This window comes from Homo sapiens, chromosome 4, assembly GCF_000001405.40.
Source record: "Homo sapiens chromosome 4, GRCh38.p14 Primary Assembly".
Taxonomy (NCBI): Eukaryota; Metazoa; Chordata; class Mammalia; order Primates; family Hominidae; genus Homo; species Homo sapiens.
In genome coordinates this window covers 52,343,934-52,370,619 of record NC_000004.12, presented here as the reverse complement: position 1 = coordinate 52,370,619, position 26,686 = coordinate 52,343,934, and the positions used below count along the sequence as shown (strand labels likewise).

Below are 26,686 nucleotides of genomic sequence, written 5' to 3'. Positions count from 1 at the left end.
AAGATATTTTTCAGATGCTGAATTCCAGTGGAACAGCTGTTGTCACACAATTTGAAGACCCCCATAGAGGAACTAAATCAGCATGAGAATGCAGTTTCTTCATCTCCCCATCCCATGACTTCACCCTGCATTCTCAGACCAATCAACGATCCCTACACCTTGACCTACTCCAAACCCCTTAAAGTCCCTATCCCCAAACTCCCCAGGGAGGCGGATTTGAGGTTTCTTCCCATCCCCTCATTTGGCAGCCTTACGATTAAAACGTTCTCTGCTGCAGCCCCAGGTGTCGGTGTATTGACTTACTGCGCATTGGGCTATGGACCTGTTAGAGTCACATAAGTCTCAGCTGAGTGGCTCTGAGTAGAGAAGTCCCTGTCACATGCTTTTCCCTGGCTGGGAAACCCAGGGATACTGGTTCTTACTGAATCTGGCCATGTATGGCTGGGAATTTCTCCAAATATATTAAAGCAAAGGTCTTCTGCAGCCAGGGAAGGTGACAAGGTGTAATCATCATTATTATTGTTCCACAGACCATTGGCTCCTGTTTTCTTCTCTTCTGAGCTGCCATGGCCTCTGTCAGTGTTCTCTATCCCACAAGCAGCAGGGAAACCAGTCTTCCCAGCTATTTCCATTCTCTGTTTCATGGATGGGTTTCATTGTCAATCACTGTTCTTTCGAAAAGTCAATATGCATAGAGACAGCATGAAAGAACTACTGTACCTGTCTTATGTGAAAAATGCTTCCTCTTTGGCCAGATCAAAGGAGATGAATAGACTCAACATTCCAGTATGTTGTTTAGACACTGATTCTCATGCTAGGAATGCCAAGGGTGAAGCCATTTGTAGTGCTGCTGCCTGGGGCTGTTCTGAACTTCTGATATAAAACAGAAAAGAGGATTTGACAACCCAAATGGAGTTGGAGCACATCTCACTGTTTGAGCTGTGGCCACATGGTGGCCTGGCCTTTCTTGTTAGAAATGAGAGCCGATGGCAGGTCTTCAAGGTGGAAATTTCATTTTCATCTCCAGAAGCCACATGTATGTGGCTCTGGACCTGCCACACTCTATGAAGGCATGGTGTGTCTTTCATTGTCATCTTCTCCAGGTCTAGTGATAGCAGTATTTTTATTAACCTCAATTTGCAGATAAGGAAGCCCAAAGTAGGGAGGATAAGAAACATGCCCAAGCTCAGATCAAAGTGTTTTAAACCCAAGCTGACTCCAGAGCCATCACTATTTCACAATAAAAATGATTTAATATATTTATTCTGATTGTATCAATTGTTTATTGCTCTTGTAAACATTCAAACAACATAGGAAAATGCAAGGGGAAATAGTCAATTCATCAGAAATCTCATCAGTCTGAGATAACAAACATTCATATTTTGGTAACTATTCTTTTTTGCATTGGTTTATGTATGCATGCACGTGCACACACAATGTAGCATAAATAGAATTCTTACATGAATGATGGCTCCTGAAGCTCTTGTTTGCTGGTCAGTGTAGCTCAAACAATCCTCTGTTTCCTTGTTTAAGTGGGTGAAGACGAAAATTTGCTCTAAGCAAATAGAGAGTCCTTTGTGGCCTGCCAGCCTCTTTACTGTAAATGGACTGGGCTGTGGCACTGTGGAGACGGGAGCGAGTGTGTCGAGTTTAAGAGCAGAGGTACTAGAGTCAGACTGTGGATACCAAGAGCTCGGCACTCTTACTGAATAGCTGTGCAGACTTACAGGAGTTACTCAACCTCTCTGTATCTCAGTTTCCTCAGATATGAAGTAGGGGTGATACCTACATCATAGGGTTGTTGTGAGGATTAAATAAGAAGACACAGTAGTCCCCCTTATCTGTAGTTTTGCTCTCCAAGATTTCAGTTACCCACTGGTACAGTTCAACAAAATATTTTGAGAGAGAGACCCCATTCACATAACTTTTATTACAGTATATTATTATAATTGTTCTATTTTTAGTTTTTGTTGTTAATCTCCTACTGTGCCTAATTTATAACTTAAACTTTATCATAGGTATGTATGTATAGGAAAAAGCATAGTATATATAGGGTTGGCTAGCATTCACAGTTTCAGGTGTCCACTGTGGGTCTGGAATGTATCACCTGTGGATAAGGAGGGACTACTGTATATTAAAACTTAGAATATTTTTCCAGCCAAAGTAAAGGCTTCATGTTAACTGATATTATCAAAATACCCATAGTGTATGTAAATCCAGTAGGTACTCAGGTGAATTATTCATTACCATGGAGGTACATATACTTTATATTAAAAACATGGTTTTTTCCATAATACTAGCAACGGTACTGCTTGTTCACTCCAAAGTATAAGATCTGTGGGCTGCAAGGAGTTTTTGTAAATTGCTGTATTTTTTTCAGGGCATGAAAAACAAGAGGATGTAATGTTGGAGAGATATGACAAGGCCATGAAGTGGATGGTTTATTAATTCATTTGTTCATTTATTTCTTCATTCATTTATCCACTGATTGATAGTGCCAGGCACATAGTAAATATTTGTTGATTAAAAGGATAAATAAAAATAACTGAATTAAACATTTTGTTTAAACAAGATTATGCCTCAACGAGCTTACAATCCAATGACTCACTATGTTTATTTATTGGAAACACACATGCACACGCATGCGTGAACACACACACACACACCCCCCCTTTAAGAGAGCAATTTTCTGACAGCAAAATAGAGTCTTCTGGTTTAATTGCTTTTTAATTTAAGCCGCAAGGTACATATGGATGAAAATTGCCCAGAGACATCTAAATTAACTACACTTGTTTATTTTGTTAGGTTTACAAAGAGTAACAGAAAATGAATTTCAAAATTGAGTCCAAATGTTGACCACCCAATTAGATGGAGTGTAAGCTTTTCTTCAGAGTTATAAATCACACAGGTCCCATGGGGGAAAGACGCTGCCCTTATGAAAGTGCACTGAGGCAGGGCTGTCCCCACAGGAAGGAGGAAGAGCCATCACAACTAGGCAGAGCTAATTCTATTTTGCACGTGTGCCTTTGGAAAACCAGTTGAGTGCTCCCTTATGACAAAGAAGAAAATGCTTGATGGTGTAGTGAATGCTTCATTCTTGGCCAAACCCAATCCCTTTCTGGCATGTTTATCTTGGTGGAGCAAGGATGAGGTTCACCAAGGTATGTGCACAGGTTCCTAGTGGATAATAAAACAGATGCTGAGGGTAAATGTCCTCCAGCATTCAAGTAATTCACTTGGATATGCAAACTGCTTTAAGTACACAAAGAGCATTTTAATGAATTTTTCCTGCTCCTAATCCCACAGTGTCATTATTTGCCTTATATTAATTACTTACTACAGCAGATTCAGCAATAATTTTTCTCCTGTTGTTAGAAACATCATTGAATTTTATTGCTAGCCTTGTGTGTTTGTTAATAACTACCTTGGGGAAAAACAGCAACACTGGACTAAGGTGTTTTCTTCCAGATTTTATGACTTACAGTCAGAAAGCTTTATGTCAATTGTAAGAAATATTTCTCCATTTTATTAAACTTGGGATTCCTTCAAGAAAATGTCACTGACCAGAATAAAATCCATTGTTGGTGCTAGGGCTGCTACTATTGTATGGGAAAAGATCAACATAGCAATGTCAGCTATTAAAGAAGGTAAAACCCATTCCATTTACTTTTCCATTATTTGCTAAGTGAATTCAGTTGTAACCGAAAGAGGTGATGGAAAAACAGTATGTTATTTCTCTCACTTGTGCAATGCTTGGCACTGGGGATTCATGGAGGCTTTAATGAGACCTTGAGGAAGGCGCTCAATGACTGTCTGAGCTGCAAGCCCTGTCACACTGGCTGCTGCACATTCTACGTCTTGCCTTGTTCCATCTGGCTGTGGACCCAATCTAACGCCTTGTAAAATAGATCTTTCCAGGAACACATGTTTCTTCTTTATGTTAAATATACAAGAAAGAGAATCAATTAAAGGAAGAAATGTTACTAAAACTGATTGTCTTTGAAGATGCTACATTTCAGAGAGGTTGTGTTCACCGATTAAGTAAAATAAAACAGTTGTCTTTGGGAGAGTCTATAAGGTTCTAAGGACACCATTAAGAGACTCTTTCTTGATATATGAAATACTTAATGGGTATGATTCTCATTTCACAAACTCCAGCATAAAAGAAAGAAAACGTTGCGCATTTTCTGTGATTCAACTTCATTTCGGATTCTGAACTATCATTCTGTTGGACTTACGTCAGGAAGGGTGGGATCTGGTTACTGAGGAAGGTTTTTGTGGGGAATGTTTTCCTACTCTTTTTTTCCAGCTTCATTGAAGTAGACTTGACACACAAAAATTGTGTATATTTAAAGTGTACAAGGTGATGATATAAATTGTGAAATGATTACCACAACTAAGCTAATTAACATATCCATCACTTTCCAAAGTTATGACTTTGTGTGTGTGGGGGTCGGGGGAAGAAGACTCAAGATCAACTTTTTAAAGGAATTTTCAAGTATATAATACATTGTTATTAACTATAATCACCATGCTGTACATTACAGCTCCAAAACCCATTCTTCCCACATAACTGAACCTTTGCACTCTCTGGCCACCATCTCTCATTTTTCACCCCTCTCCCTATTCCTTGGCAACTGCCATTCTACTCTCTGCTTATATGAGTTCAACTTCTTTAGATTCCAGATATAAGTGAGGTCATATAGTATTTGTCTTTCTGTGCCTGGCTTATTTCACTTAGCATATAACGTCCTCTAGATTCAACCATGTTGTCGCAAATGGCAAGATTTCCTTCTTTTTTAAGGCTGAATGATAGTCCATTGTGTGTGTGTGTGTGTGTGTGTGTGTGTGTATCACATTTTCTTTACCCATTCACCCATCAATGGACACTTAGATTGTTTCCATATTTTGGTTATTGTAGTAATGTTGCAATTGAACATGGGGTACAGATATCTTTTCAAGATACTGATTGTATATTCTAGTTTTAATAGCCCATATCTGAAGCATGGATTTTGATATTAAGTGTTGCAATTTAAGGACAACCATTGAAAAATCTCAAGGTAATTTTGGTACAAATATGATGCTATTTCAATTGATGAAAGTTTTGAAATTATAGACCTTTCTTCATTTCAGACAAAAATCTAAAAATAGGTATCTTGAGCTCAATAAAATTGCTTTAAAATCCTTTCTTCTATTCCTATCAACATGCCTCTGTGAGATTGGTTTTTTATTTATTTGTTTTTTTTTTGAGACGGAGTCTTGCTCTGTTGCACATGCTGGAGCACAGTGGCACGATCTCAGGTCACTGCAACCTCTGCCTCTCGGATTCAAGCGACTCTCCTGCCTCAGCCTCCCAAGTAGCTGGGATTACAGGTGCCCATCATCCTGCCTGGCTACTTTTTGTATTTTTAGCAGAGACAGCGTTTTGCCATGTTGGCCAAGCTAGTCTTGAACTCCTGACCTCAGGTGATCTGCCCACCTCAGCCTCGCAAAGTGTTGGGATTATAGGAATGAGCCACCATGCCTACGCTCGGCCTTGGTGTTTCTGAGTGCTGTGAAGTCAAATTTATATATATATATATATATATATATATCTTTTTTTTTTTTTTTTTTTTTTTTTTTTTTTTGTGAGACAGAGTCTCGCTCTGTCACCCAGACTGGAGTGTACTGGTGCAATCTTGGCTCACTGCAAGCTCCACCTCCCAGGTTCACGCCATTCTCCTGCCTCAGCCTCCTGAGTAGCTGGGACTACAGGCACCTGCCACCACGCCCGGCTAATTTTTTGTATCTTTAGTAGAGACGGGGTTTCACCATGTAAGCCAGGATGGTATCGATTTCCTGACCTCGTGATTCACCCGCCTCGGCCTCCCAAAGTGCCGGGATTACAGGCGTGAGCCACTGTGCCCAGCCTATTTTCTTTTATTCCTATCAACATACCTCTGTGAGATTAGTTTCTCTAATACGAGCGCCATGAAGTCAAAATATATAAACTATTTAGCTATATATTACCCTCTGTGAGGATTTTTTAATCAATCTTACATAGATGACATAAATTATTCTGCAAGAAGCAAATCCATTTGGTCATAAAAACTGGTGTACATGGGGTGTAAGTGCACATATAGGATGCTTAATGTGGGTTATTTCAATCATGAATTCTTTTATTATGATTGTTGAAACAGAAAGTTACAAGAGTAATTGCAGTTCTGTTTTAATCACCTATACTCACTTTCGATGAACAGCATTCACAGTTTTTGTGAGTTTCTTTCTGTTTCCCTGGGTGATAACCCAAGTCTCTTGGCTGCTGCTTCCTCGTCACCTCTCTTATATCTTCTCTACTGCCTTTCAATGTCTGTGCCTTAAGAAAGTATATAGTTTTAGTTGGGAATTAGATGATCTGGGCCCCAGTTCATGAAGCAGTTGTGTACCTTGGCTAAATCACCTTTCTGGCTTTCAATTTCTCAAATCCAAAATAGGACAGTAGGAGAAAATATTTTCTGGCACTTTTTGATGGAAATAAACTTTTTGCAAGATTAATATAATAGTGCGCAAAATGGTTTGAGAGGAGAAAGAGCCTACAGAGACACTGAAAACTCATCTGGTTACAAGGTTTATGCCAAATATCTATAATTTAATATACAACTCCAATAGCTTTCTCATTATTACTATTTTTAGAAGCAATTATGCTTTGATTTAATTTAATCTTCAGGTATTGGGTCTTCCTTCCTATGCAGTGGTTTCATATATAAAGTGCTTTCTTCTTTAGTGAGCTTATATGCCTGCTATCAAGATTAATAGTTCATCTTTTCAACTTTTTGTCTGTTCTAACTTTTACCTACTTTCTGGGCTCCACCTTGATGCCAAATTTCCAAACGTCTACTTCTGTTTGTCTACAACACAAAGCAAGTCTTTGCTATGCTACTGGAGCAAAGCATAGATCAAGAGAGGCAGCCAACTAAATGCTGGACTACACAGACTTACTTTTGCCCCAAAGTCAGGCAAACCAAAGTCCTTGAGGATCTCAAAGAATTTGAAACCATATATAAAATAAATAAATGCAAATGGCACATTTCCCAGTTATATAGGGTCTCCATGGACTTCTTTAGATCCAAATTTTTCCCTTTTTCTTTTCTCCATTGATGTCAGGGGAAATAGGGCCAGAGTTTGATCTTTTGCTGAAAGGTTATATACAAGGAGGGAAGAATAAAAGAATAATAGGGAGTTGGGGCCTATGGGGAAATAAAAGTAAAAGTAAACATCCCCCTGGAAAATAAACCTTGGGTATTACAAACCCCATGATGCTACCTTTTCACGAATGAGCTGTTCCAAGTTGTGGTGTCATACTTGAGCAAACCTCTTTGAAGATAATTGGCCAAAATTAAATGAGCCATCTTGGGTTGTAAAAATTATTTTCATGTTTTAATCAGTGATGCATCTATTTATCTACTCTTCCTCATAGTTTTAAGATCCTAAAATGTAAATTTTAATATAGACCCCCAAAGGCTTATAATACAATGCTATCTCTCTCTCTCTCTCTCTCAAGTTTATGATTGTTTCAGTTTATCTATTGCATAACAAACCACTCCAACTTAGTGGCATAAGAGGTAACCATTTTGTTAGATTTATAGGTTCGATGATAGGGAATTTAGGCAAGACACAATAGGGGATGTTTTGCTCTATGACATCTGAGGTCTCAGCTCTGAAGACTCAGACAGCCTGAAGTGACATGAAAGTTTGGGTGTTGGTACCTATGGAAGCTTCCGCACACAAATGCCTTGTATCTCTAAGTTGAAGGCTAGCTCAGCTGACTGTTGACCAGAGCATCTACATGTTGTCTTTCCATGTGGCTGGGTTTCCTCCCTTCAGGGCCTCTCAGGGTCAATGGATTTCTCACATGGCGTGGCATGGCTATAAGAGTAGGTATTCTAGTAAACAATCTTAGAGATTAAAAAGCTGCATGACCTTCTGTAACTTACCCTTGAAAATTATATAGCATTACTTCCACCACACTTTATAGGTCAAAGCAGACATAACCTTACACAGATTAAAGAGTAAATATAGACCCTCACCCACTTCTTGACGAGAAGAGCATTGAAGAATTTGTGCCTGTATTTTAAAACCAATCAATCTTGACTTTTATTTTGCATGCATGTCTCAAGATTTTGAAACTCCTGAGAGGCATGAATCAATGTATTCTCAGGAAATAGGAGGTAGGTTGGTAATTTAACATACAGGGTAGGCCCCTGCCTTTCAGGCCCAGGGTGTGTGTCTCTGACTGTCCTCTGAAGAGAGGAACATGAAGGGAATAAACCTTTAAAGTACCACCTCACCTGAATACAAGAATAGAATATCTACTGAACTCTGGCATGAATATCTGCATGTGGATGGATTTAGGTAATTGCTTCAAAGTTATACAGAGCTAGAAGTGGAAGACAAGGTTTCAGGCATGGGATCCTGATCTCCTCATTCTCCTGAATGCACAGAGGACAAAATTCATCCCTCTGAGGGCAAGGCCTGGGCGACAGGAGGTGTTTCCCTCTTCCAGCCCAGACAGGTTGCATATTAGCTGTCATTACCCCTGACAACAAATTGGTCTGACTCTGAATTGCATCTTTCCAATCTCCAAGACTTTTTCCAGGTCACAGGAGGGAGAAGAGAAGTCTCAGTTCACCTGGGAAGAGCACTGCTGGTTTTATTATACTTCACAGAAGCTGAAAGGAAGCAGTTAATATGGTTTCAGGCAATGTCAGCTGTAAAGATGTACATCAAGTCTGCTGATGGGGGAAACTGAGGCTGGTGAGGTGACCAGTGGACAGGAAGTCACGAGATGACTTTCTCCTTTTTCCCTCCTTTTAAAATATATATTTATAGCATAAAACATCACGTTTTGAAACAGAGATGCTATATTAGGCCATTCTTGCATTGCTATAAAGAAATATGTGAGACTGAGTAATTAATAAAGAAAAGAGGTTTAATTGGCTCTCCGTTCCACAGGCTGTATAGGAAGCACGGTGCTTGGCATCTGCTTGGCTTCTGGGTAGGCCTCAGGAAGCTTTTACTCATGGCAGAAGGCAAAGGGGGAGCCAGCATCTCACATGGCAGAGGAGAAGCAAGAGAGAGTTGGGGGATGGGGAGGTGCCACACTTTACAAAAACGAGATCTCAGGAAAACTCACTCACTATCATGAGGATAGCACCAAGCCATGAGGGATCTGGCCCCATGACCTAAACGTCTCTCATCAGGCCCCACCTCCAACATTGGGGATTACAATTCAACATGAGATTTGGCAGGCTCATATAGCCAAACCATATCAGATACATTGTGGAATGGTTAAATCAAACTAATTGACATATGTGTTACATTATACACTTATTTATTTGTGGCGAGAACAATTAAAATCTACTTTCTTAGCAATTTTCAAGTATATGATATATTGTTATTAACTGTAGTCACCACATTGTGCAATGGATCTCTAGAACTCATTCTGCTTGTCTAACTCAAATTTTGTATCCCTTGACCAACATCTACATCTTCCTAGCCACTGCCACCCCCAGTCTCTGGTAACCACCATTCTGCTCTCTGTTTCAGTGAGTTCAACTTTTTTACGCTGCATATATAAGTGAGATCATGTGGTTTTGTCTGTCTGTGCCTAACAGAGATGACTTTCTGTGTCATGATTTTTCCTAGGCTCAGCCATGCTTCTGGTCCAGGTCTTTTCCACAAATACCATACTTCCCCACCACCACCACACCTTAAAAACTTTAACAAGGCCACCTGTTTTACAAAGAGACAGCTCCAGGCCAGCTCTGTCATGAACTCCTGAGTGGATGGTGGGCAAGTTATTGACCATCTTAAGTCCCTTGCAGTTCTAGCTCACCGTGATTCAGAAGAGAGAAAGGGAACTTGGTTTCTGAAAAATGTTGGCCATGTATTCAAAGGTAGATCAGAGAGGCAGGTTACCTTAATGTAGAGTTGCCAAACATTACATGGGATACGCTTATACTGAAAAAAACTCTTCATTGTTTATCTGCAGTTTAAATCTAGCTGATCATCTCATATTTTAATTTACTAAATCTGGCAACCCTACCTTAATAGTTATAAGTGTAGTTAGACTGTAGATCGGGAGTCAGCAAAGGTTTAGTGTAAAAAGACCAGATAACAAATATTTTCAAATTTGCCATTTTAATGCAAAAGCAGCCAGATGATACATAAATGATTGGGAATAACCTTGGTTCAATAAAGCTTTATTTACAAAGCCAGGTGGCAGGCCCTCATTTGCTGACCCCTTCTCTAGAGCTAAACTACCTAGGTTTAAGTCAACTCTGTCATTTATGAGATACAGGAAATTAAGCATGTCACTTAATCTCTTTGTGCCTCAGTCTCCTCATCTATAATATGGGTCATATTCATAATGTACCTGCCTTCTAGGGCATAAAATGGTGTCTTATATATGAAGTGTTCAAAGCATGCAGTAAGTGCTATGAAAAAACAATGCATGCCATTTTGTGTTGTAGGATTCAAGTATCTCAACAGAGTGGCCAGAATAATCATAGTTAACATTCATATAGCACTTACCCTCTGCCTAGGCACTTTACGTATGTTAACTCATTTAATCCTCAGGATACCCTAGGCTATAGGTAAGATATCACCATCAACATCATCATCATCCCCATTTACAAATGAGCCAACTGTGGCCCAGAGAGTTAAGTGGTTTGCCCAAGGTCACCTGACTGGTGAGTAGCCCTGTTGGGGTCTGAACCCTTGTAGTCTAGCACCAGAGACTATTCATTCACCCCTACCCTAGAGGGAAGAGATATGAGGGCAACAGGAAGATTAGAAAATGTCATGTTAAGTGTTTGCAGTGATACTTGTCAATAAGTTGAATATAATCTATTTTCGAGGAACACATAGTCTTCATTTTGAGGGTTTGTTTCCTGTTGTTCTTCTTCAGTTCTGAGGACAACGATCCCCATCTGTGGTGCCCCACTGAATTCATACTGATCCACGTGCAGACCCTCCAATCCTGGAAACATGTTGGTATCTTAAATTTCTGGGGTATGAACTCTTTTCCTTTCTTTCCTCTTCCCCTGGGTTTTTCTCCTGTTTCTTCCACCTTCCTGCTCCTCCCCACCTTCTTCTTCCCAAACTTCTTTCCTCTCGTCCTTCTCTACAACTTATTCAGGCCTGAAAAGAAGCCAGGGAAAAGATATTTGCTTTGGGCGAAGAAAAGAAAAATAAAAGATGAACTAGCCAAGTCAAAGAATAACTCCGATTTTCTACAAAGGGCTACTTAATGGAAAGGCTGTGACTTAACAGTGCTTTATACTCTCTGTGCTCTTTAGGAAAAACAAAGTTGATATAAACAGCTGGAGACTGTAACTTGAAAAACCAAGAAAGTAAGATGAATAAAACTTCCTGTTTTCCTCTCCTACCCTGGCCTACAGGGGGTTGGCCTATAAGGCTTCCTTCCAAACCAGATGTTCCATTCCCAAAGCTCCCTTCAGAATCTCTGCCTATCAGTTATTCTTTACACAACACCACCAGACCTTAGATTTAATTACCATGAGCATGCTTCAGCCAAGCGCCTGCTGGGACACAGGCCCTCTTAGGAGAAGGAAGTGAAATATGGTCAGCATATGACATGAGCTCAAGGAGGTAAACACTCTACTATCATTGTCTAAATTAAGGCAACATTAACAGAGCTCCTCTTACAGGCCATGTACTGTGGTAAGACTCTCATCTGATCTGCACCATTAGGTAGATACTATTACTGTCCCTATTTTATAGCTGGAAATCTGGCCTTGGAGAGCTGAATTAATAAATTCGTGACCCTGAAAAGGCCCCCTCAGCTCACCCAGTAAGACACCTCCACCTCTTCTCTCAATCCTGCCTTGTTTAGAAAACATGAATGTATGGAAAAGAAACACAATGATAGAGAAGCCGTGTTCTCTAGGAAGGAGATATTGCCTGCATCACCTCGACTCCTGCCTGGGTTGCTGGGCGGGCTGCTTTTCTCCTTGGCCGCTCATCCTCTTTGGAGACATGCTGTCATCGATTTTAAAGGTCTGTCTGCATCCTCCGTGGTCACGCCCAGCTGATGGACCCCAGGACACACTGCCAGTAATAATGCAGACTTTCTCCAGCCCCTGCTCAGCCTCTTCCCAGCGTCTCTGGCTAAGCTCTTCTTGAATATGTAGCCTAGTGCAGGGGGTACATATCATCCTCATTGTAAAATGCTTAAGTGCTCGAACAGATCTTAAACATTAGTTTCAAGCATGAAACTCGTCTATATTTCGCCTTTTCATGCTGAGGGAAAATCTGCCAATAGGATTCGTGATGGGGCTGTTATTAACAGTCTCTTCCCTGCACAACAGGGCACGCTGTACTTTAGGGTGAAGCAGATTTTTGCCCGTTGGGTAATTATTAACAGCTAACAATACCTATTAATTGAAAATGTGTTTGCTTGTTTGTTTTGTGAGATCATCAAAATTTTACATAATTTTCTTTTTTTTTTCTTTTTCTTTTTTCTTTTTTTTTTCTTTGAGACAGAGTCTTGCTTTGTCGCCCAGGCTGGAGTGCAGTGGCATGATCTCGGCCCACTACAACCTCTGCCTCCCAGGTTCAAGCAGTTCTCCCACCTCAGCCTCCTGAATAGCTGGGATTACAGGCGCGCACCACTACGCCTGGCTAATTTTCGTATTTTTAGTAGATATGGGGTTTCGCTATGTTGGCCAGGCTGGTCTTGAACTCCTGACCTCCGGTGATCTGCCCTCCTCAGCCTCCCAAAGTGCTGGGATTAGAGACGTGAGCCACCTGGCCTGGCCCATAATTTTCTAATTGTAAAGAATAACAGGGTTAGCTTTCCAACCAGTTAATGAGTACCCAGCAGTGGACTTCAGGGCTTTATTGGTTGGCCCCATGTCAGGTGCAGCTTTGAGCCCTCCCTCTCTACAGGTTACCACATGTCCCAGTAGTGAGAAGAATATGGTCACTTTGTAGCTGCCCCTCCAACTTCTGCATCATGTTTTTCGAGGAAAAGAAATTAAAAGCCTTTCTCACAAAGTTTAGGAACCCCAAGTGTAGCTTCATTTCTTCTTTTTAGGCAAAAGTACTGTAGGCCCGTGTCTCATGTTCAAAACCTGGGAAATAGTGATGTAAATGAAAAGACAAAGATAAACAAAACAGATTTCTTAACTGTCGAAATTCTCTGTGTTATTAATATCCTGTTGTCACTCTGAATCTTCAAGAAGGAAATGAAATGTATAGAGTTTCCTAAACTTTCTTGACCTCAGAATACCTGGGAACCTCTTGTGGTATTATTGTTCCATAGACACTGCTTTAGTCTGTTCATGCTGCTATAATAAAATACCACAGACTGGGTAATTTATAAACAAAAGAAACTTATTTCTCATAGTCCTGGAATCTGAGCAGTCCAAGATCAAGGTGGTGGCTGGTGAGGGCCCTGTCTCTCTGCTTCCAAGATGGCATCTTGTGGCTGGATCCTCAGGAGGGAAGGGATGCCGTGTCCTCACATGGCAGAGGGGTGGAAGGAAAAGAGAGGGAAGACGGTCTCTGAAGCCTCTTTTATAAGTGCTTTAATTCATTCCACAAAGGCCCTGTCTCTTAATACCACCTGATAAGGTTTGACTGTGTCTCCACGCAAATCTCTTCTTTAACTGTAGTTCCCATAATTCCCACGTGTCATGGGAGGGACCCAGTGGGAGGTAAGTGAATCATTGGACGGGCCTTTCCTGTGCTGTCCTCATGATATTGAATAAGTCTCATGAGATCTGATGGTTTTATAAAGGAGAGTTTCCCTACACAAGCTCTCTTTCCTGTCACCACATAAGATGTTCCTTTACTCTTCCTTCGTCTTCTGCCATGATTGTGAGGCCTCCCCAGCCATCTGGAAGAGTGAGTCCATTAAACCTCTTTCTTTTATAAATTACCCAATCTTGGGTATGTCTTTATTAGCAGTATAAGGACAGACTAATACACCACCACAGTGGGGATTAAGTTACAACAGGAATTTCGGAGAGAATATACATTTAAAACTGTAGCAGACACATTTTGGGAAATCAGAAAGTAGCCATAGTGGCCACCATGAATTAAGAACATATGAATCTAGGTCCAATGCTGGGTGTTCTGCATACATATTCTGATTTAATATTAACCACATCCTAAAAGACAGGTCTTATGATCACAAGGCTTAGAGAACTTCAATAACTTGCTCAGGGACACATAGACTGACATGGTAATGCAAGGGCTGGTACCAAATGTTCTGATCAAATGTTTTGAATCTTCTGTTCTTCTTTTTCCTTTAGAACCTTTTTTTAAAGATACATTTTAAACATAGAAGGGAATAAAGACCCACATGACAAACATTCATCTTTCTACCATGCAAAATTAGTAAGTTTTAAGTTTAGTCAGATTTGGTTCTAGTCTTTCTTTCTTTTTTAAAATAAATAAAATATTACAGATAAGTCATATTTGCTTCTTGTCAAGCTGCTTCCCTGTTATAAATGAACCCCAATTCGAGGGGTGGAGGAAGGGAGCAAAGTTGTAAAGTGCAACAGCCCAGGCTCTTTTTCGGCTTCTCTTTTGCCAAATGCAAACAAATATTTTCTCCTATTTCTTGTTTCCTCACTGCTGTCTTGAGTTCCCTTCTAAATTTGAGGCACAAAGAGAAATATTTTAAAACAATGCAATACACAAACCTGAGGTGAGTCATCAACACATTGGTCTACAATTAAGAAAGAAGACAGCACTGGGGTTCTCAAAGCAGCAAGTAGAACACAGTGGGATATTCTCAGGTGTGACTGATACCATATGTGCTAAAGATACTGAAAATGGTCAGCACTCAGGATTTTTGCTAGCGACATCCTGTGGTTTAGCCAAAGACATAGTCTACGGTGTGTGGACATAGTGGTACCATGCTAAAGTGTGTTAACACATGCAGTTGCTCCAGCCCACCCAGGCTAATGTAAAACTCTGTCATTCTTATTCCCCTTATTTGATTTATTTTTCTTACATAGCACTCCTCACCATCTGACGTTGCGTTTTTGTTTATCATTTCTTGTCTGTCTTTCCTACTAGAATCTAAGCTCTATGAGGGCAGGGTCTTGCCTGTTTGTCACTATTGTACCCTTTTACCTGCCTTTCTTTGCTCTAGTTCATGAAGTATTTCTGGAGAGCATGAGATAAGTTATCCAAGCAGGAAACAGAAAAAAATTAGTATGCCAAGAAATCAGAGGAGAATCAAATTTGATATCAAGGATTGAATATGAGTGTATGATACTGGAGGGGAAGAGAAGAAGACACTACTGCTGGTGTTATTCACAAGAGCCTATTTCCACAGGAGGCAAAACTGGCCACTCAGAAGAACTAAGCTCCCATGCTCTGTGGAACATTTTCCCTGTGAAGAATCTTGATGCCCATTAAGGGAGGGAGGGACAAGAAATAGAGCTCTGCACCTCCCAACTTCAAAGGATTGAGGTGGGTGTGTGATGACAGATGGTGCTAAATCAAAAGGCACATTGATTCTCTCTGCCGTGGTAACAAATGATGCCCAATGCTCTGTGGTTTGCAGCAACAAAGCTTCGCTTCTGTTGGATGTGACTTTGCTTGGGATACAGGGTGAAGGAACCCCTGTTTACAACGTGCTACTCTTATGGCAAAGGGCTTCTGTTTAAATGTGGCATAAGTTATATCTATTTCCACTTTATTGGCCAAAGCAAGTTACATGGCCAAGCCCTATGTCAATAGGACTGGGCTGTATATTCTTTTTCTCATAAGAGACACTGAATATTCATGGAAACAGGCAGGACATACACTTCTTTTGTACAAAGGGAGAATAAAGAGTTGAGAGCAATAACACAATCTACCCCCAAAGTTTTTCTATGGCCTTGCAGCCTAAAAACCATCAAACCCATTTCTCCTGCCTCCCTAGTTGTAGGAGAAGGAAGGATTAAGAAAGGAAAAATATAAAATGCTGTTGTGATCACTTAAATCAGGGGTAGAAAAATCAGGGACGTGGAAAATCAGGGGCACAGATGGATCAAACATCTCCCTCTCCATTTGTCACTTTGGGAGTTAAGAAGGTGTGTTGTTGAGCCAGCAAAATCGCAGCTGTCAAAGAATGTGGTTTTACGCACCACAGCTTTGGCACTAGATTGATAATGTGGTAGACTGCATTATTATTTCCCACTTTTCACTGCCCCTCTATGTGAGTGGGTTATGCTTCTCTACCCTAGGGATATCAAGATTGGCCATGTGACTTGCTTTGTCCAATGAAATGTGAGCAGAAGTTCTGTAGGTATCTTGGAAGCTATTGCGTTGTTCTGCTATATCTATATATTTTTTACCTCTTCCACAAGAACACCAGTGTCTCAAACAGCCTGATCATGGGAAGAAGGAGCTATTTGAAACAGAGCTGTAGCTCTCATGCAAGGTGAGCAAGGAGATAAGCTTTTTTGTTGTAAGTCACTGAGATTTGGGAACTGTTTGTTACTGTAGCACAATCTAATAAAAAATGAAAGCCAGTTGAAACAAATAATAATAAAAAATTTGAAATTTATTGATAGCCTACTTTTGCCAGATATTGTTCTTGGTCTTGTGCATGTATAGACAGAATGTTTGTTTCCCCCAAAATTCATGCTAATTCTTAATGTCTAATGTGATAGCATTTGGAGGTGGGATTCTTGGAGGTGATTATGTCATGGTGGTAAAGCCCTCATGAATGGGATTAGTGCCCTTAGGAAAGAGACCTCAGAGAGCTTACTCAGCTCTTCCAGCATGTGAAAATGCAGTGAGATGATTGTCGTTTGTGATCCAGAAAGCCAGTCTTTACCAGATACTGAATCTGCTGGTGTCTTAATCTTGGACTTACAGCCTACAGATCTATGAGAAATAAATTTCTACTGTTTATAAGCCACCCAGTTGATATTATTTTGTTATACCTGAACAGACTAAGATTCTCATCTAATCTCCCAACAACCTGAGAAGGAAGAAACTATTTTAATCTCCATTTTACAAATGAGAAACATGAGACACAGAGAGGTTGACTAACATTGTCAAGGTCACATATAGAAAGTAAAAGGACACCTGAGACACAAACTCAAGCAGTCTGGCTGCAGAGCACCCAGTATGAGACAAAGTGAATCTTATATTTAGTAGAAAGAGTGTGCTTCACTAGGAATCTATTCATCTTATTAAGAAGGTCTTCAAATAGAACCAGTGGTGTGCAGAGTGGGAAGAAGAGACTGAAACTCATTGTGTTGGTTAGAATACAGATCATACTGATTAAAAAGAAAATCCAAAATGCAGTGTTTCAAACAAGAGAGAAGTTGGCATTTCTCCAGGGAACAGTTAGGTATGAGCATTCCAGAGCTGGGGTGGCTCTAGAATGCAGGCTCATTCAGGAAGTCAGTTCCTTTGACTGGGTTGCTCTGCCATCCCTTTAGATACTGTATTTGTTCATACAAGGTCAGAGCTTGCTGGTCAGCAACACATCTGTATTCCAGCCTAAGGAAAAAAGGAAGAAAGGTGTAAGCAGGCCTTTTTCTGAACTCAGGAGACCAGGACAGAGATACAATTATAGGCCCACATGCTATTTGTCTAAATATTTCCAAATTATTAAACAAGCAAAAACACTGCCAACGAACCTACTGTTTTGACAGGTATACCTTCTTAACTGCCTGGAAATCCAGGGGCAAATTTAGGATTCTCAGACCTCTTGGAATTCTGAGCTGGACAGGACAGTATAGGGAGAATTCACACCTGACCCTGAGCCTATGGCTGACCACTTGTTCTCCCCCACTGCAGCTCCATCCTGCACAGCCAGCATCCTTGTGTACAAGGTATAGACACTCTTGTCTGTATACCTCCCCACTATACAGCTGTTCCTCAGTGAGCCTTCATCCTAGGAGTGAACGAACTGGTGGCATGGTTTACACTCAGGAGGATAGATCCACAGAAGAGCTCATGCAGGCTCTGGAAGCAGGTTCAGAGACATTTGGGCAAGGAATTCTAAGGTTCCATGGACTTAAAGCTTGGTCTAGAAGAACCATATGGAGGTGAGCAGGTCCCTTTGGTCCTGCAGAATTCTCACCCTATAGGGAGGGACACATCCAGAATAGGGCCTTGAAAAGTACAGGCCTCATGGAAGGCAATCCTGTTGCCTGGGTCTAAAAGTGGTACCAAATGCAAATAATTACTTTTTTTGGAATTTGGCATGGAAGTTGGTAACATAACTTCTGCTCACATGTAATTGGCCAGTACCCAGTCACATGACCACACCTAGCTGCATGGGAGGCTGGGAAATGTCCAGCTGAGCAGCCATGTGCCCAGCTGAAATCTTGGAGGACATTATATTACTAACATTGAAAAGAGGGTAATGGATAATGAAGGTAGGGGTAATCAGTGGCATACAAGAAGAACAAGTGAAAAAGGAGGAAATTCTCATAATTTTCAGGTGAAACTAATAAGGAAGTAGGTCAAAAATAATATTCATGGTTTTGCATACCAAGGCACAGAGCAGTTCTTCAGTGATACATCAATATATCTTAATTTATCATGAGGTAAGTTATATTTTGTTACTAATAATACTGTAATGCCCAATAGGTTCACCTTGCCCACTGCCTAGACAAAGCTGATTTATCAAAACAGGGGAATTGCAATAGAGAAAGAGTAATTCACACAGAGCCAGTTGTGTGGGAGATCGGAGTTCTATTATTACTCAAATCAGTCTCCACGAGTATTCAGGGAGCACAGTTTTTAAGGACAACTTGGTGGATAGGGGGAAGCCTGTAAGCCAGGAGTGCTGATTGGTCAGGGATGAAATCATAGGGAGTTTAAGCTGTCTTCTGGCACTGAGTCAGTTCCTGGGTGGGGTCACAAGATCAAATGAGCCAATCTGGGTGGTGCCAGCTGATCCGTCAAGTGCAGGGTCTGCAAAATATCTTAAGCACTGATCTTAGGAGCAGTTTAGGGAGGGTCAGAATCTTGTAGCCTCCAACTGCCTGCCTCCTAAACCATAAATTCTAATCTTGTGGCTAGTGTTAGTCCTACAAAGGCAATCTAGTCCCCAGGCAAGAAGGAGGTCTGCTTTGAGAAAGGTCTGTTACCGTCTTTGTTTAAACTGTAAACTAAGTTTCTCCCAAAGTTAGTTCAGCATACACCCAGGAATGAACAAGGACAACTTGGAGATTAGAAGAAAAATGGAGTTGATTAACTTAGATCTTTTTCACTGTCTCAGTCATAATTTTGCAAATGTGGTTTCAATACAATACAAATTTTGTGAGTTTTTTTTAAGTTACGTTAGTTTCAAGTTATCCATATCAAGTCAATTAAGTCATTTCTGTGAGGCATATAGAGATAGAGTTCAAGCTATTTTATAAAGCCTAGGGCTGATATTATCTATACTAGGGCCAGTTATGAGCTTCTATGTCTGAAATGTATTGCTAATAGTTATGTCAGAGATGTTCAAACCAGAGCAACTCCATTTTGAGTGAGGGCAAGGAAAGTGAGGCTGAGACTTGCTGGGCTGCATTCTCAGAAAGAAAGGTATTCCCAGCCTCTAGATGTTTACTGTTAAGGGAACAGATTAATAATGTTTACTAAACAGACCCAGACTTGGGAGTGTCCTAATATCCCAATATCTGGAGAACAAAGGCATTCCTAATTTTGCTTTGAAGATAATAACATCAATTCTTGCAAAATATAGTAATTACGAAAATTAATTTTTTATCACAAACCCTTGTAGCAGAGCACATCTCCTCATATATACAAGTATCGTACCCAGGGTGGATGCGTTCCTTCTCCTACTTTCAGGAATGTCCTACTCTGTCTATGGAGTAGCTGTCGTTTCACCACTGTACTTTCTTAATAAACTTGCTTTTGCTTTGCACACTGGACTCTCCCTGAATTATTTCTTGCATGACATCTAAGAACTCTCTCTTGGGGTCTGGACTGGGACCCCTTTTCTGTAACATATTTCTGGAGACCACAGAAGAGACGATACTGAAGAAACCCCTCCAACCCAAAGGAAATAGACTGCAGCAATGATTGGACGACTTTGGATAAGTGCGGGGGTACCTGGGTAAAGAATAGGATGGGGTTAGGGGAGGTAGAGTCTCTCCAAAGACAGAATGGGTTAGACGCCTCTCTTAATAAAAAAAGGCAAGGACGCTTGACTGACCTTGGATTAGAGGCCCAACTTAGGAGGGTTAGAGTCCCTTCTAAGATTTAGGGGGTTACAGGCTCCTCTCAGTAAAGTCCTTCTTGGCTGAAAATGGGTTTGGCACCACAGGCTATGCTCTTCATATTAATCTGCCTTGTCCTCCTTGCTGCATACATCAATTTCTTGGTTGTTGTCTGTGTTTCACTGTCATTTTCAGGAGACTTTATTTAACTAGTCTTAGGAATTTTACCTTACTCATTTCCTATGCGCCTCCCGATTTCTGTCCACTCGCTTGTGAAACATTGGGAACAAAAATCATTGAAGGCTCCATCTCTAAAATTGCTGATTGAGATCGATATTTAACAGCTATGAGCAATAAGATTAGATAGATGTAGCTATGTTTTGTTGCTGCTATGCAGACTACATGTGATCGAGAAGCACTAGGATGGAAATCAGGGAACTTTTCTCTTTGCTGTTTTGTCTCATTTTGCACATGAAAAAACTTCTTTCCTTTCCTGGATTCGGGCAAACTGGCTTTACTTGTCCAATCCACACTGCCACTATTGGCCAGAAGCTGCTTGCTCTGGTCATTCCCATCTAAATCCTCTTCATTTCCTTTGCCTTATTCAACCTTTTTTTCAAAGACCTTGTGATTTATTTAAGATTCATGTCTCAGCTCACTAATATTATATGGGCAATGTGAATCATGTTTGATGAGAGGAAAAGAAGAAAAAGATCTAGACATACTAGATGATCCTTTAATGCAACGCCATCCCCTGCCCACCTCCCACCCCCTGCCCCGGAATTGGCAGGCAGTTTCGGGTGGAGCAACACTTCCTTCTGTCAACTCTGAAGGTTCAGATGTGTTGGTCCTTTCTCCCTCTAGTCCACCTGAAAGTTGTATTGAGAACAATTCGCCCCCTCCTTCTTACCCACGTAGTCCCACTCTACACCCACCACTCCCTAAGGAGCTTAGCCCAGTGAGTACTACTCATAGTGGAGCCTCCTATCAACCTCCAAAGCGAAACCTTTGTCCACTTAGAGGTGGCAAATGGGGAAGAAGGCACTGTGAGGGTACATGTTCTCTTTTCCATGTCTGATTTGGCTCTATGCAAAGAGAAGTTTGGTCATTTATTTGAAGATCCAAGAAAATTCATATATAAGTTTGAAAAATTAACTCTGACCTATAGTTTAATTTGGCAGGATCTGAATGTTTTGTTGTCTCTGTGTTGTACAGTGGAAGGGAAACAATGCATTTTGGGGACAGCTAGGACCCACATAGTTGAGGTATTGGCTTGCAACCCAAACTATACAATATATTAAGCAGGAGGTACAGGAGTTCTAGATCAAGATCCAGAGTGGAACTCTTAACGGAGCAGTGAGGACTTGGAGAGGAGAAATCATAGGGTCACTTGTTTGTTGGAAGAGATGAAGAAATGTATGAAAAAGCCTGTTATCTATTAAAAGGTTAAGGAAGTTTCTCAGGGCAAAGATGAGAATCCAGCTTTGTTTCAAGGGTGTTTAGTTGAGGCCATCAGGAAATATACTAACACTGATCTTGCCTCAAGGGAAGGACAGACCCTTTTGGGAGCACATTTTAGAACCTAGTCTGCCCCTGATATTCATAGGAAACTACAAAAAGCAGCTATGGGTCCCCAAACTCCTATAGGACAGCTTTTGGACATGGAATTTTTAGTTTTTAATGACAGGGACAAAGCAGAGGAAGCCGAAAGAGAAAGAAGGACTTCCCACAAGGTGCAGCTCTTGGCTGCAGCCTTAAGCTCACTTCCTACATGGGGTTACCCTCCTGGCTCTTGGCTTGAACAAGGGGAGCTGAAAGGTGGGAAGCCCAAAGCTGGGCATCTAAGTCACTGCACCTTGAGCATAAATCAGTGTACACACTGTAAAAAAACTGGCCACTGGAAGAGGGGTTGCCCAGATTCTGAAGGGAGCCATCGGCACCCAAACCAATCATGGCCAAAATAGCCAGGCAAGCCCAAGAGTAACAAGAGTAACAAGGTCTTGTGAAGCAAGACCTTCCATCACAGCTCCTGTTGGACAACATATATCCAGAGGAGCCTTGGTAACGCTTGACATGGCAGGTAAGAACATTAACTTCCTTCTGGACTGCTTACTTTGTTTTGACCCATTATAATGGGCTTCTGTCACCCCAAAACTGTGTGGTCAAGGGGATAGATGGACAAGCCCATAGACTTCACTTTACCTATCCTCTAAGCTGATCTTCAGGGAGTTTGGTTTTCTCCTGAATGCCCCATTCCCTTGTTGTTGACTCAAATGCAAACAGTGGTATCTTTTGGAAATCAGGAGGCAGACAAGAAATTCCTCCTTCTCCTTTCCTGTGAATAAATATCAGGCTTTATTGCTAGACACTCCTGATATAAGACTTAAAGTATGTCAAACTTTGAATCCAGCTACCTATTTGCCTGAACCCACAGGCACCCTAGATCATTCTTGTTTACAAGTTATGGAGAAAGTTTACTCCAGCCATCCAGATTTAAAGGATGAGACTCTAGATAATCCTGAGGTAGAATGGTTTACAGATGGAAGTAGCTTTGTGCACCAGGGAAACAGGAAAGCTAGGTATGCTGTTGTCAGTCAATAACAGGTAACTGAATCTCAGGCCTTACCAGCTTCTACCTCAGCTCAAAAGGCAGAATTAATAGCTGTTATTAGAGCCCTGCAATTGGGAAAGGACTTAAGAATTAACATTTACACTGATTCTGAGTATGCCTTTCTGGTACTTCATGCTCATGCTGCTATCTGGAAGGAACAGGGACTCCTAACTGCTAAGGGTTCTCCTATAAAACATCACTTAGAAATTCTAAATCTATTGGGTGCTGTTTTGCTGCCCAAGGAAGAAGTTGTAATCGGTTGCAGAGGACATCAAAAAGGAGACTCTAGTGTGGCTAAGGGAAATTCTTTTGCAGATGCAGCTGCTAAGGCAGCAGCGTTAAAGGAGCTAGTTGGACTTGTCCGCATGCTAATGTCCTAAGCCAGGATAATGACAGAACCTAGGTATACTAAAGAGGAACAAGAATGGGCTAAAGGCCAGGGTTTAATGCAAGATCCTTCTGGCTGGCTTATCCATGACAACAAACAGTTAATACCAGGTGCTCGTCAGTGAAAAATAGTTAACATTTTCATGACTGTACTCATTTGGGAAGAGATTCCCTGTTTCAATTAATGTCCCAGCTTTTTATAAGAAAAGGCTTACTTAAAACAGTAAAGTGGGTAACTCGGGCCTGTGAACTGTGTGCCCAGAATAACCTAAATAATCAGTCTTTACCTCCTCCTCTAGTAAGGCCTGTTCTGCATAGGGGAACATACCCTGATGAAGATTGGTAAACAGACTATACTCAGATGTCCCCATGTAAAGGGTTTAAATATTTATTAATATTCATTGACACCTTTATGGGTTGGATCAAAGCTTTTCCCACCCGGTCTGAAAAGGCAAATGAGGTTTCTAAACTCCTACTAAAGGAAATAATTCCTAGATTTGGGCTGCCTAGGAGCTTACTGAGTGATAATGACCTATCTTTCACAGTGACAATTATCCAAAACATATCTTCAGCCCTAGGAATTCAGTACCGCTTTCACTCACCATGGAGGCCACAGTCTTTGGGAAAAGGAAAAAGAGCTAATCAAACTCTAAAAAGGACTTTTGCTAAACTACGCCAAGAGACATCAGAAACCAGGCTGTCTTTATTACCTGTAGCCTTATTATAGGTTCAAGTGGCCCGTAAGGGAAATCTGCAGCTCAGCCCTTTCGAAATAATGTATGGAAGGCCTTTCTTAACTACAGACCTCTTAATAGACATAGATAATTTCAAGCTACAGAATTATGTGATCAACTCAAGACAAGTGAAAAACGCACTCCTTGAATATGGAAATCAAAGACTCCCTTCCCCACTAAGGAAGAACTAAGGTGGTGGTTACAATCCAGCTGGGAGACTGTGTCCTATTAAAAACTTGGAAGGAAGGATGCCAGCAGATCAGCTTTCCCCAAAATGTGAGTGACCCCAGCAAGTTCTCCTTAGCATCCCAACTGCAGTTAAACTTCTGGGAATAAACAGCTGGGTCCACTTATCTCAAATTAAACCTGTCTCTTATGAAGTCCCACAGGCCAACGGAACACAAGAGACTGATTCTGTTTATTCCTATGAGCCAATCAGTGATCTCCGACTCCCGTTCAGAAAAAATGAAAGGGATGGGTAACATAAAGATATGGATTGGCATTCCACCTTTGGATATAACTTGGAATCATGCAGACAGTAACTTATTTACTGATGGGCATAGACTTTAGCCTCTCTACATAATCAGACAAACTGTTGGGTATGTGGATATTTTAACAGTGGCCCAAGGGGGAACTTGTTCCTTGATCAAAACTGAATGTTGTGTGTATGCTCCAAACTATTCACATAATATTACCCAGGCTATGAAAGCTGTAGACACTCATATCTCTGCCACTGATGCACTATCAGTTGACCCTGTATATGCTTGGTTCCAACAACTGCCCAGTTCTTGGAAAGCCTTTCTGTTTAGTTTACTTGGAATGATTTTATTTATTTTGCTTTGCTGTTGTGGAATATATTGCAGTTGTATTCTTTGTGTAGGAATGCAAGACACACTCACTCAATGCTTTCTTAAATTGGACACTTATTAATCTTTCAGATATCACCTTTTGTCAGAACTTGGCGTTATGAATGACCTTCACCATACCAACACTCTCTGACTGAGCTTCTCTCTACCCTGAATGCAAGAGAACCTAATAGTTAGGCAGGAATATCATCGCCCCCATTCAGCCTGAAGAAGTTACAGAAGATGGATCTTCATCCCTCTGCAACCCTTAGGATTAAGGATCCTCTTGTAAAGGGAGGGGGAGATATGTCAGAGGCATTCAAACCAGAGTGACTCCATTTTGAGTGAGGGCTAGGAAAATGAGGCTGAGGCTTCCTGGGCTGCATTCTCAGAAAAAAAGGTATTCCTAGCCTCTAGATATTTAAGGTTAAGGGAGCAGATTAATAATGTTTACTAAACAGACCCGGACTTGGGAGTGTCCTAATATCCCAATATCTTCAGAATGAAGGCATACCTAATTTTGCTTTAAAGATAATAATATCAATTCTTGCAAAATATAGTAATTAAGAAAACTAATTTTTTTTTATCACAAACCCTTGTAGCAGAGCACATCTCCCCATATATACAAGCATTGTACCTAGGGTGGATTTGTTCTTCCTTTTATTTTCAGGTACGTCCTACTCTGTCTATGAAGTAGCTGTCCTTTCACCACTGTACTTTCTTCATAAACTTGCTTTTGCTTTGCACTGCGGACTTGCCCTGAATTCTTTCTCACGCAAGATCCAAGAACTCTTTCTTGGGGTCTGGATTGGGACCCCTTTCTTTTAAGAGTTACAACAATTATAAATTGTTACAAGCCTCTACTTCTCCCACAAAAGTGAGGTGTTGGGTCAGAATCTCAATATGCTCCTGTTTGTGTGTATTATAAATGAGTATCATGTGCTATGTGTATCATTATATAAAACAAATTGGAAATAAGTGGCATAACATGACAAAATGACATTAAAATCTTAACACAAGGAAATAATTATGATCTGTATTAAGGACCAAAACAGTAACTATAATATGACTGTCACTTGAAGAATGAGGTTTATACATTTGGAAAAAAGAACTTTATTTCTCAATAAGGGTTTGAGCCTACAGGGTGGCCATTCTGACAGGCTGGGTGGTGTAGCCTCTGGCCAGAAGCCAGAAAGAGACACCTCAAGGGTAAGAAGAATAAGACAGAGATTTATGCCGAATCAGGTGAGCAAATATACCTATTCAATTAGTTACATGATGAATCATGAATATTTATGAAAGGAGAAAAGCGTGCATTTACAACTGAGCTGAAGCCTCTCCTTGGGACCCGTGTTAAAAAAAGAAAATGGCAATTGTAGCATGATCCAAGGGAGGCATTTTCAGCCCTCTGACATCAAAGCTTGAAGCAGAGGACACAAAAACCCTCATTGCACATCCTCCATTAACCAGCCAGAAGCACTCCTGGTCATTGGCCTCCTATCAGGAAGGAATGCTGGTCAGTTGTTTTGTTGAAACTGCAAAAGGGAGAGGTAGCATTAGACAGTTGGTTGATATCAGAGATGCAGCAAGTCTTTCCAAAGGGCTGGTTTCTTTCATTTTAACTCTTAGGGAAGACCCAAGGAGAAAATATAATGAGGTATGTCTGACCTCCCATCCCATCATGGCTGGGAACTCAGTTTTCAAGGTTTCTCTGGGGTCCCTTTGGCCAACATGGTGTTCATTCAATTTGTTGGGGGCCTTAGGATTTCATTTTCCTACCATGGGTAGGACATTTCATTGTCCATTTTGAAAAATGACTGGGTATTCTTCAAAAGAAATATGTATAGTAGGAGAACAGAGGTCAGCATTGCATGCCAATAAGATGTACATCTGGATGTAAATCCATGAATA

The 26,686-nt window shown here is 40.8% G+C and overlaps 1 long non-coding RNA gene across 1 annotated transcript in view; it reads right to left on the bottom strand.

Moving 5' to 3' along the window:
• Positions 1-16,552: 16,552 nt before the first annotated feature.
• LOC107986279 (uncharacterized) overlaps positions 16,553-26,686 on the bottom strand; it is a 55,397-nt gene continuing 45,263 nt past the window's right edge. Inside the window, exon 2 of the long non-coding RNA XR_001741689.1 lies at positions 16,553-17,520. This is a non-coding gene — a long non-coding RNA (uncharacterized LOC107986279). The remainder of the gene's footprint in view (positions 17,521-26,686) is intronic.